At 41.7% G+C, this 13,034-nt stretch overlaps 1 long non-coding RNA gene across 1 annotated transcript in view; it reads right to left on the bottom strand.

Annotated features, from left to right (window-relative positions):
* LOC124901731 (uncharacterized) overlaps positions 1-13,034 on the bottom strand; it is a 37,459-nt gene that overhangs the window by 10,590 nt on the left and 13,835 nt on the right. Inside the window, exon 2 of the long non-coding RNA XR_007060489.1 lies at positions 2,241-2,338. This is a non-coding gene — a long non-coding RNA (uncharacterized LOC124901731). The remainder of the gene's footprint in view (positions 1-2,240; positions 2,339-13,034) is intronic.

The raw sequence follows: 13,034 nt of genomic DNA, 5'->3' as shown, positions 1-13,034 counted from the left end.
GGCACGATATTAATATTCAGCATAGAAATTAATTCAATTTGTTCATTCCCCTCCCTGCTGCTTTCCAAATTGTGCTCATTCGGATTTGTCATGAATAAAAGAAAAGGGTGTAATATTTTAATGGCTGCATTCTTAATTACAAAAAGAGGAGCTTTGAGACTCTTCTCCAGGAAGAGCTTGATTACATTTTTCGTCAGGGGCCTGCTCCATTTCCATCTACAGATATTTTATTCTTACAGTTACAATGTAGAAAACAGATGCAAGTGGAACTGCTCTGGCTGAAGTGGGGGCTGGGGTCCTGCCTGCATGGCTTCTGCTCCATACGTCCTGGGAGGCCAGTACACCTTTGGGGAATACCAGGGCTCTGCAGAACCCAATTTGTGAGCCCCCAGTGGAATCCACAACCCCTACCACACTTTATACATAAGGAATCAGAGGGCCAGAGAGTGTGATTGTGTCTTCTATTTTTAATTTTTATTACTTTATTACTTTATTTATTTATTTATTTATTTTGACTTTTTAGAGTCAAAGTCTTGCTTTGTTGCCCGGGCTGGAGTGCAATAGCACGATCATAGCTCATGGTAACTTTGAATTCCTGGGCTCAAGTGATCCTCACACCTCAGCCTCCCGAGTAGCAGGTGTGTACCACTAAGTCCGACTTCTTCTATTTTTTAAATCATAAAGTTTGATGTGTTTCCAGGTATACTTGCTTATTAGTGTAGATACTTGCCTTCCTTCTAGACAGAATGATGACTCACTACTCTGCTACTCTGAATGATTTTGATCCCCGAACCACACCCTGACTTCCTGGAGGAAAAAAAGAAAGGCTGGGATGGAATTGTCAAGGTGAACAATGATGTCCTTCTACCTAGAAAGAAGTAGGGATTGCTAATAATAATAACACAGAGGTACTTAAAACAGGTAAGGCCCTGTTCTAAACACTTGACAGGTGTTGCTGTATATACTTGGCGGCAGTGCTAGGAGGTGGGTGTCCATGCTAACGAAGGTACAGAGAGTTTCAGTAACTTTTCTAGGGTCACTCATTACCCAATTTTGGAGTTAGGTCATTGACCTAGCCAGTTTGCCTCCAGGGTCTGGCTGTTAACCCATCTTCAGTGGGAATAACCCTAAAAGTTCCCATCCTAGTGTTGACATTTTCTGCTTCAGAGAAGACATTTTTTCCTCTTGATTTTTCACTTAGCTTCTGTTGCCTTCCAAGGAATTAAGAAATCTTCAGAGCATCCTTCCTTGTCTAGTGGTATTGCTCGCCTCACTCTCAAAATCCATCTCCAGACAAGAACTTCAGGTCATGATTCTAGTTGATCCCCATATTTGTGCTCATGAGGAGTGAATTTCCATGTGGAACTGTCTTGGGGGCTTAGAGTGGAGATCCTGGGGGCTGCTTTGGAGTCAGAGCTGGAGCCAGGTTAAGATTGTCTCCAGACCTCAGAGCCCTTGCTGTCTGTCCCCACCAGCATTCTCCCAACAGGCATGCCCTCCATGCCTGGACACTACGTCTGCATCTCAGCACTGAGCCCTTCCTACTTGACCAGTAAGTCAAGCTGTATCCATGCCCAGAGAACTGTGCAACACACAGAGCTCTTGTCAAAACCAAGCTTGATGCTCTCCTATCTCTGGCAGGCAGTTAAGTGTTCAGACAAAAGATAGCTTCTGGGGCAGCCAGCCTACAAACAGTGCTGGTCTTATTACTTACTAGCTTGGAGACATTGAGTAAGCAATTGAAGCACATGCAATTGTACCTCCCGTTTCTTATCAACACAATAGAAAATATTGATAGTATCTGTGTCATTTAGCTGTTGTAAAGAATGATTGAGATAATACAGGTAAAGCACTTAGGACAGTGCCTGATTCATAGCGAAGAATTAATACACAGTAGCTTTTATTCCTATGAGATGGTTGGCAATGGGAAAGAAGTCGAAGTGGCCTCCTATGATGATTTGAGTATATTTTAACACTAGAATTCTCAAGGTATCTTTCAGCACCCGAGTGGACCCTCTTCCATTGTATAATCAAAGAAACACACATCTCTCAGCCTGAGGATAAAAGTCTCCATCCACAGGCCAGGTGCAGTGTGGCTCATGCCTGTAATTCCAGCACTTTGGGAGACCAAGGCAGGTGGATCACCTGAGGCTAGGAATTTGAGACCAGTCTGGACAACATGGTGAAGCTCCGTCTCTACTAAAAGTACAAAAAAATTAGCCAGGCATGGTGGCACGCACCTGTAATTCCAACTACTCGGGAGGCTGAGCCAGGAGAATCGCTTGAACCCAGGAGATGGAGGTTGCAGTGAACCAAGATCGCGCCATTGTGCTCCAGCCTGGGAGACAAGAGTAAAACTTCATCTTAAACAAACAAACAAAAAGTCTCTATCTACTTATGCTCCTTACAGTTGGGTGGGGACCAAGCAGAGGCCAGTTAGCAACATTAGTTTTCTGGGAGTTGTCAAACTAACTCACCCCAGTGAAGCTGACTCCACGATGTCTGTTAGTCATAGTCTGGGTTATATTACCGAATCACATCTGATTCACTGGTTTCACCTCCACCAGCAGAAAATCTGTGTACAACTCCATGGGCAGACACTCCCAACCCTGTGCTCAGCTTTCTTCCACATCAGTATTCCTCTAGCTATGCTCTTGACTTCGTTTTGTCTGAGATTTTGTACCATCCCTAAAGGATACCCTTTTATAGCTTGGCCTTCTTGCCTTAACCATTTTCTTTTTTTAAATAACAACTTTTATTGTGAAAAATATATAAATATATAAACCCGTGTTGTGGTGGACACTGTGAGGTGCTGCTCAGTTCCTTTCAGGAATGAAGGACTTTGTCTCGGCTGCTGGGAACATTGCCAGCAAAAAGCCTTTAGTTGTCAGCACCCTGTGTGGATGGCCTCAGCTGATGAGAGCGTCTTTGCCAAAGTTCAAGATCGTCTCCCAGGTGGGCTGCATGCAGTGACTGACTAACATGGTGTATAAAGAGCTGTCTCCCACCACCAAATCAGGAAAACTCCGAAGGGCCATCCGAGGTTCAAAACTCTCTATGTGGTTGACCAAGACCTCCACTGAGACTGCTTTGCCGATCAAATTCTTCCCCTACTGGATTCTGCTTCCTTCAATTTCCTCCCACGGTTGTTGATTCCAAGAACACACCCAGATAAATCTCTTATATAATAATCTCCATCTCAGAGGCTGTTTCCTATAATCCCAACTTCTGATAGGTGTATAAAGCATTTACGTTGTTTAAAGAAGAATAAACATTCATGCACCCTCCATCCATCCAGCTAATGACTTATCTTGCCAGTGCTTTGAAGCCACTATGTCCCCCTTTCCCCATTGCATCCCCTTCCTGCCTGCACCTTCACCCCAGGTAACTACTATCCTGAGTTTTGTGTTAATCATTGTTTTGTTTTTCTTTATATTATTATCCTAAATAATAGGACAAATGTCCCAAAATATTTATCCCAAGAGGTAAGTGTTTATTTGGGGTAATAATATAAAGAAAAGCAAAATAATGATATGTGTATATATATATATATATATATATATAAAATATACACACACATTATATATATGTGTGTATATATATATGCATATATATTTCAGTCCTTTCCTTCAATATTATGTTTTTGAGCTTAGCATGGAAGCGCGCACAAAGGATGCTCCGTTACTGTTTATTCTCATTTTTTTTTTCATAATTACAGATTCCTTCTCACAGCCCTCCACAGGAACTAATCCTGTTGACTCTTTGATCTCAGACTTCTGGCCTCTAGAACTATGGGAGAATCCATTTCTGTCGTGTAAGCAAGCCAGCTGGTTTGTGGTACTTTTTTTTTTTTTTCTTTGAGATGGAGTCTCCCTCTGTTGCCCAGGCTGGAGTGCAATGTTGTGATCTTGGCTCACTGCAACCCCCACCTCCTGAGTTCAAGCGATTCTCCTGCCTCAGCCTCCTGAGTAGCTGGGATTACAGGTGCCTGCCACCACATCCGGATCATTTTTGTATTTTTAGTAGAGATGGGGTTTCACCATGTTGGTCAGGCTGGTCTCGAACTCCTGACCTCAGGTGATCCACCCACCTTGGCCTCCCAAATTCCTGGGATTACAGGCATGAGCCACCCTGCCTGGGCTGTTTGTGGTACTTTGTTATGGCAGTCCCAGGAAATTAATGTACTCTTCTCTGCCTCCCTTCTGTCTGTATGTTCTATGGGCCCAATTGTGAGAGGAAAGCAGTCATACAGGGTATACATGTTTTGATAAGTCTGAGCTTCTATCAAAGGAAGTAGTCTAAAAATGCTGGACAACTTTTCAAAGTAAATCCTTGTTAAAGTTGGGAAAATTGAGTACTGATTCAGCTTTTCAGTTTCTGGGGAAAAAAATAAGAAAGGCAGCAGACACTAAAAACAGAAGCATTCTGACACCAGAGCTAGGCTGAGAGGAGTGTTAAGGGACAGGTGCCGCTGAAATCTTTGATTCTGAGTTGCAGGAGCAGGAAGTGTGGCCATCAGGTAGATGCTGGGCAACAGGAGCTGACAGGTAGAAAAGGGCTAATTCGCACCCAGCTAGAGGGGAACTCAGGTGCCAGAGAAGCTGGAGGTCAGAACCAGGAGACCCCAGGCAAGATGCTGAGGGTGGAGTGAGGGGATGCAGGGCAAGGACTTTGGCTGAGACAGTAGCTGAGCCTCCACTGAGCCTTCCTCTTCTGATATATGTAAGTGTGTTTCATTAATCACAGCAGCATCCATGTTCCCTTGAAAAACAGTAATATATATGAATGTATATCTGTATTCACATTATGTACCATGTATCAGGTGTTCAATCTATGAACAATACTTGGGTTGTTCATGGCAGTGCTTCTCAAACTCTTATGCTGGAGTATTTTCAATGGCAAAAGAAGTGTAACCAGGAGCCTGAAAGTGTACTTTACTTTGAAATTTGTATTCTATGATGTATTTTTAAACCTAACCACTAACTCCTTCTCCTCGTGTGCTGAACCAATCTTCCAGTAAAATTGTCATGTGACTTCACTCATTTGCTGGTGTGTTGCCACTGACTCAAGGGTTATATACACCTGGGTGAGAAACATAGGCATATAAACTGGGGATCCCTTACCATTACTTAGGGCCTTCTGAAGCATCTACAGATGACAAATCGATACTTGGGGTAATCAGATAAGAGAAATTTTATATAAATGAAACTATGCCAACATGTTACTTTCTCCAGTTTACATTTATTTTCCAATAAATATTTCACAAATGACCCTGAGTGATACAATGGTCAGGACAGGTCAGCAGGGGAAAAATACAGGTAGATACATTTAGTTTTTAAAAATAAGCTTTTACTTTTAGAACAGTTTTAGATATACAAAAAAATGTGGCCAGGTGCAATGGCTCATGCCTGTAATCCCAGCACTTTGGGAAGCCAAGGAGGGCAGATCACTTGAGCCCAGGGGTTTGAGACCAGCCTGAGCATCATAGCAAGGTCCCCATCTCTACAAATAATTTTAAAAATTAGCTGGGCATGGTGAGGTCACCTGTAATTCCAGCTACTCAAGAGGCGGAGGCAGGAGAATTGCTTGAACCTGGGAGGCAGAGGTTGCAGTGAGCTGAGATCGCGCCACTGCACTCCAGCCTGGGCAACAGAGCGACACTCTGTCTCAAAAAAAAAAAAATTGATGTACAGAAGAATGTGAAGATAGTACGCAGTGTTCCCCCATATGCCACCTAGTTTCCCATATTATTAACATATGACATTAGTATGCTACATTTGCCACAATTGTTAAACCAAAATTGATATACTATTATTAACTGAAGCCTCTAGTTTATTCAGATTTCCTCAGTTTTTAGGTAATGTTCTTTTTTTTTTCTTTTTTTTATTTTTGAAACAGGGTCTCACTCCATCACTCAGGCTAGAGTGTGGTAGCACAATCATGGCTCACTGCAGCCGTGATTTCCTAGGCTCAGGTGATCCTCCTACCTTAGCCACCTGAGCAGCTGGGACCACAGGTACACGCCACCATGCTGGCTGATTTTTAAAATTATTTGTAGAGATGGGGATCTTGCTATGTTGCTCAGGCTGGTCTCGAACTCCTGGGCTTAAGTGATCTGCCTTCCTTGGCCTCCCAAAGTGCTGGGATTATAAGCGTGAGTCATCACAACTGGCCACATTTTTCTGTATATCTAAAACTGTTCTAAAAGTAAAAGCTTATTTTTAAAAACAAAATGTATCTACCTATATTTTTCCCCTGCTGACCTGTCCTGACCATTATATCACTCAGGGTCATTTGAGAAATATTTATTGGAAAATAAATGTAAACTGGAGAAAGTAACATGTTGGCATAGTTTCATTTATATAAAATTTCTCTTATCTGATTACCCCAAGTCTCAATGCTAGGAGTACAGGTGGGAGCCACCATGCCATGCCATCACGTTCTTTTTCTGTTCTAAGATCTCATCTAGGACACTGCATTATAGTTAGTCCTCATGTCTCCTTAGGTCCCCTTGGCTGTAACAGTCTTTCAGACTTTCATTGCTCTTGATGACCTTGATAGTTTTGGGGAGCACTGGTTAGATATTTTGTAGACTGTCCCTCATTCGGGATTTATCTGACATTTTCCCCATGATTAGACTGGGGTTGTGTGTTTTCAGCAGGAAGACCACAGAGGTCAAGTGCTGTTTTCACCATATCATATTAAGGTTGCCTACGACCAACATGACTTAGCATTGTTGATGCTGACTTTGATCACCTGGCTGAGGTAGTGTCTGCCAGGTTTCTCTACCGTAAAGTTCTCATTCTCTCCCCCTTTCCATGACTGTACTCTTTGGAAGGAAGTCACTATGCTCAGATCCTACTTAGGGAATGGGGGATTATGCTTGACTTTTTGAGGGAGGAGAGGCTATGTAAATTATCTGGAATTCTGCATGGGAGACTTTTCCCTTCTCCTCCATTTATTTATTCAATCATTTATATTACTACTGATTTATGAATATTTATTTTATACTTTAGGTTATAATATGATATTTCCTTTTATTTTTATTTATTTATTTTTTTTGTGACAGAGTCTCACTCTATTGCCCAGGTTGGGGTGCAGTGGTGTGATCTCGGCTCACTGCAACCTCTGCCCTCCGGGTTCAAGCGATTCTCCTTCCTCAGCCTCCCAAGTAGCTGGGATCACAGGTGCCTGCCACCACGCTCGGCTAATTTTTGTGTTTTTAGTAGAGATGGGGTTTCACCATCTTGGACAGGCTGGTCTTGAACTCCTGACCTCGTGATCCACCCGCCTTGGCCTCCCAAAGTGCTGACACACCGCGCCCGGCCTATGATATTTCTTTATATTGTTGCTCAAATTGTACCAGCTTTGGCTACTGGGCACTCTTTCAGTTAGGTTTTATGTCCCCATCATTGTGTATCTTTACACAATGTATATACATGTATCTTTATTTTAGGATTTTCTTACTTTTCTAGCACTGGAAAATGCTCCAGGATCATCTTGTTTGGTGGGTATTTTCAGGACTTACCAAAATAACATCAAGCATCTTTCTTTCTGTAGGGATTTGCCCAATTACTGTGTATTTCCAAAAGGACTATCTTATTTATTTCCTGCCCCAGTCTCAAATGCATGAGTTAATGACCTATAAAAATCCACAGTAGGCTGGGCGTGGTGGCTCACGCTTGTAATCCCAGCACTTTGGGAGGCGGAGGTGGCAAATAACCTGAGGTCAGGAATTCGAGACCGACCTGGCCAACGTGATGAAACCCCATCTCTACTAAAAAAATACAAAAATTAGCTGGGTCCTGTAATCCCAGCTACTTGGGAGGCTGAGGCAGGAGAATTGTTTGAACCCATGAGGCAAAGCTTGCAGTGAGGCGGAGGTTGCAGTGAGCCGAGGGTGTGCCATTGCACTCCAGCCTGGGCGACAAGAGCAAAACTCCGTCTCAAAGCAAAAAAACAAAAAACACCACAGTAATGAAATACTTGTCTTGTGACAAAGCAAGAAACAAGACAAACACAGAACTGCCTGCACATACTATACCATAGCAGAACAGACCCCCACAGCCAACAGATTCCAGAAAGAACAGCATGAAATCAATGGGAGATATTACAAGTTCAAAATGGTAGGTACATAGAACAGGCCACTGAAGACTGATCACCTTTGAGGTAGAAACAAGTGGCAGTGTAGGAAGCAGGAAATGGAGAAATTAAAAAGCAGACCAGCCAAACTTGTTACAGTAGGCAAAGTTCTCTTTGCCAGAAGCAGGATGGATTCTAATATTGTTATCAAGTACAATCATTTACTTAAACTTTCATTTTGTAAAAGGTACTGTGGATTTTCCTCCTAGTTCTGACATTTTAGGAAGAGTTCTTGGTTTTCTCAGACTTTCTCACACTTTCATTAAGAATGAAAATGTAGAGTGGTTTCATTTAGCCAGGTCTCATGGAAGGCTCTGTAAGTGAAGCCCACCCCAAGCTAGGAATTCTGTCTATTGCTCTTAATCTTCAATGCTTTTGCAGACCATTAACTCAGGAGTCCTCACTTTGTCACTGAAGTAAGTAAGCACAAAACAAAGGTTGCATTTCTTTGGAGAACCGAGAATCATCAGTCAAAAGCAGACAGAATTTTGCCTCAAGTCTTATCCTTCTCTTTTCAGACTTCCTTTTCTAGCTCTAGCTTCTTGTTTCTTACCACTCCTATCTCTTTGGGTTTTGCTCTCACTTTGAAAATCTGACAAACGGAGCGGCCAACACAGTAATGATAATTATTTTTTGCATGGGAGAAACTTTCCTAGGTACTTTTTAGCAGGGATTTTATAAAGACAATATGCTAATTTTAATGGTAGGAAGAACAGATCTTAAGAGGTAGGGAAGATTGTTTGGGCCAGAAGAGGCCTTATGCTACAGTTGAGATGCATATCCTGCTTTCGTCTTTCAGATATTTTTAGGGAATAAAAGACTCTCCACTCCCTGCAAAAAAGAGGCTTATATTAATAGTGCATTTTCACCATTAGTGGTGACTCTGCTATTTAACAGTTCTAGCAGTTATTAGTGTTCCCAGTGTTTTCAAGACCCACCAAAAGGATACCAAGCATCTCCCTTCCTTTTGGCATCTAATCAGATGCTCCGTATTTCCAAGGACTATTAAAAGAATGGATTTGTGTATTTGGTCCAGGAATTCCAAAATAACCTGGAACTGTCATAATAAACAGATTTCTGAGCTGGGTGTGGTGGCTTACGCCTGTAATCCCAGGACTTTGGGAAGTCTAGGTGGGCAGATCACCTAAGGTCAGGAGTTTGAGACCAGCCTGGTCACCATGGAGAAACCCCAACTCTACTTAAAAAAAAAAAAAAAAAAACCAGAAATAAGCTGGGCATGGTGGCGCATACCTGTAGCCCCACCTAGCTGCTTGCGAGGCTGAGGCAGGAGAATTGCTTAAACCCGGGAGGCAGAGGTTGCAGGGCTGAGATCATGCCACTGTACTCCAGCCTGGGCAATAGAGTGGTAGAGTGAGAATCTGTCTCAAGAAAGAAAACAAAAAAACAGATTACTGGCTTTTTTTTTTTTTTTAAACCAACTAATTATAAGATACATGTGAAATAAAGAATGTTGTTAACTGGTCATTTTCTAAGTGGCAAACAGAGAAGAGAGGAGGTGATGACTATCAGTTCTTAAACACCAGATTTCAAAGTGTTTGAGATTTAACATAAATTATTAAGTAGGGGTTCCAGAATATATGATTTCTATTCTTCATCACTTTTTGAATTGGAAATACTAAAAAGTAACTATGTATGACTTATCTTCTGTGGCTACTTCTAAAATGATAATTTGGAACCGCAACTTCTTTATAATGCACGTTTAATGAGTGGCTGTATGTATTTATCTTTAATGTCTTTATTTTCTCCATCAACAAGTGTTTATTAGTAACATATTATTATATCCCAGGAAGACTGATAGAGATGCAAAAATAAAACATAAGCTCACAATGTGGCAACAAGTTAATAAATAATTGTAATATAACTTGAAAAGTAAAATTACAAACGTATGTATTAGGGAAAGTGGCAGCACAGAAAAATCAGGGCCAATGTGGAATTTGGTAGATTGGGGAAGATTTTGCAGAAGAGGAGATCCTTGAGTTGGGTATTAAAGGAAGAGTATGAGTTTAACATCTCCCAGACAGATGGGAGGGGTGGGGGCTGATGGAAAGGCATTTACAGATGAAGGAACAGTCTGTATGAGAGCAAAGACAGGAAAATGGAGGACATGTAAAAGTCTTTTGGAGTGGCTGGAGCATAGGTGAGTATCGAAGAGCTGTGAACTGTGGTGCTCATGGAGGCAGCGGCCTAATCACTGAGGTCCTTTTCAAACTTTACTTAGGACCGTGTATAAAAGGTGGAAACTTTGGAGGTTAACTGAAAATGTGTGTATTAGAAAAATTGGAAATTGAATTTAGAAATGGTGAAACTGGAGAGAGAAAGGCCAATTAGGAGACCATTTAAGAGGTTAAGGTAAAAGATAACAAGAGCCTGAGGTAAGGCAGTAGAAAAACAAAAGAAGACAAAGACATAAGAGATGTTTAAGTGATAGAATTTTAGGCAGGGCCTGGTGGCTCATACTTAGAATCTCAGTGCTTTGGGAGGGTGAGGTGGGAAGATCACTTGAGCCCAGGAATTTAAGACCAGCCTGGGAAACACAGGGAGAGCCTGTCTCTACAAACAAAAAAATAATAATAAATTTAGCCAGATGTGGTGATGTGCATCTGTGGTCCCAGCTATTCAGGAGGCTGAGGTGGAAGGATGGCTTGAGACTGGGAGGTTGAGGCTGCAGTGAGCCATGATTGTTCCACTACACGCCAGCCTGGATGATAAAGTGAGACCCCATCACACACACACAAAAAAGATATAGAATTTTAATAACTACTTGAGCCTTGGGAAACACTAACATTTAAAGTGTGGGTGCTGTCACTGCAGTGGTACTGCCCTTGCTGCCTGCTGACCAGGGAAGGAGCAAAAACCCTGAGTGCTTTAGCCACACCTCCAGCAAGCTGCAGTTGCCCTAAGGAGAGGCCAGTTTGTCTCCCCCAGGTGTCATCCACCCTGCTGCTTATTACCAGGCAGGGTCTTACCGGCTTGGGTCCACAGCACAGCCAGCCCATTCTGGGCTGATCATAGTGACTGATAGCTGGTCTGCATCTTTCTGGGGTGAAACCCCAAGAGACAAGTGAAAGCCCCTCTGCCACAACCACTGCTAAAGTTCCTTCCCCTGTTGCCTTCAAGCTGGGGAGGGAACATAAAGCCCAAGATCGCCCGGGAGCTGCAATGTGCAACCTGTGGGTGCCAAGCTGAGATCTGTAGCCAGCAATCAAGTGGGAGAGAAACCTACACTTTCAGAGCACTGAAAGGTAGATGGCTGCAATTAGGAGAAAATACAGAGGAGCCACGTGACTGAGCAAAAGCCTACCTACTTCCATTATGTTTAAGTGCCACCTACTGAATCACAGCCCCAAACTTCAACACCAAAAATGCTTTGCTAATATACCCCTCTGTGAAACCAAGGACAATAATTCAGCTTCAAATAAAGACTCTACACAAATTTTCGATCCTCTGAAAACATCCAGGAAATAAGTCTACTGACTGTATTCGATTTATACCACAGTTAAAGGCCACCAGCTCACACAGATGAGAAACAACCAGAGCAAGAACTCTGGCAATTCAAAAAGCCACAGTGTCTTCTTTCCTCCAAATGACTAAACTTGTTTCCCAGTAAGAGTTCTTAACTGGACTGAAATGGCTGAAATGACAGAAATAGAATTCAGAATATGGATAGAAATTAAGTCCATTGAGATCCAGGAGAACATCAAAATTCAATCCAAGGAAGCTAAGAATTACAATAAAATGATACAGGAGCTTATAAGCAAAATAGCCACTATAAAAAGAACCTAACAGATCTAATAGAGCTGAAAAATAGTCTACAAGAATTGCGTACTGTAATCACAAGTATTAGCAGCAAAATAGATCAAACTGAGGAAAGAATCTCAGAACCCTCTGAAATAGTCGGACAAGAAAAAAGAATAAAAAATAATGAATAAAACCTCTAAGAAATATGGGATTATGTAAATCTACAACTCATTGGCATCCCTGAAAGGGATGGGGATAAAGCAAGCAATTTGGAAAATATATTTTAGTGTATTATCCATGAAAACTTCCCCAACTTCACTAGAGAGGCCAACATTCAAACTCAGGAAATGCAGAGAACTCCTGCAAGATATTACACAAGAAGACCATTCCTAAGACACATAATTATCAGATTCTCCAAGGTCAAAATGAAAGAAAAAATATTAAAGACAGCTAACAAGAAGGGGCAGATTACCTACAAAGGAAATTTCATCAGGCTAACAGCAGACCTGCCTTACAAAAGGTCCTGAAAGGAGCACTAAATATGGAAAGGAAAGACTGTTACCACCACTACAAGAACACACTTAAGTACACAGACCAGTGACACTATAAACAACTATACAAACAAGTCTCCATAAAAAATCAGCTAACAACATGATGATAGGATCAAATCCACACATATCAATACTAACCTTGAATGTAAGTGGGCTAAATGCTTCAATTAAAAGGCACAGAGTGGCAAGCTGGATGAAGAAGCAAGACCCAATGGTATGCTGTCTTTGAGAGAACCATCTCACATACAATGACATCCATTGGCTCAAAATAAAGGGTTGGAGAAAAATCTACCAAGCAAATGAAAAACAGAAAAAAGCAGGGGTTGCTATCTGAATTTCAGACAAAACAGATTTTAAACTAAAAAAGATTAAAAAAAAAAGATAAAGAAGGCCATTACATAACGGTAAAGGACTCTATTCAACAAGAAGACCTAACTATCCTAAATATACACGGACCCAACATAGGAGCAGATTCATAAAGCAAGTTCTTAGAGACCTATGAAGAGACTTAACTTCCCACATAATAATTCTGGGAGACTTCAACACCCCACTGACAGTATTAGAGGGATCATTGAGGCAGAA

The sequence above is a fragment of the Homo sapiens genome, chromosome 7 (assembly GCF_000001405.40).
Source record: "Homo sapiens chromosome 7, GRCh38.p14 Primary Assembly".
Classification (NCBI taxonomy): Eukaryota; Metazoa; Chordata; class Mammalia; order Primates; family Hominidae; genus Homo; species Homo sapiens.
The sequence above is the reverse complement of the archived record's forward strand: the minus strand, read 5'-3'. Positions and strand labels throughout refer to the sequence as shown.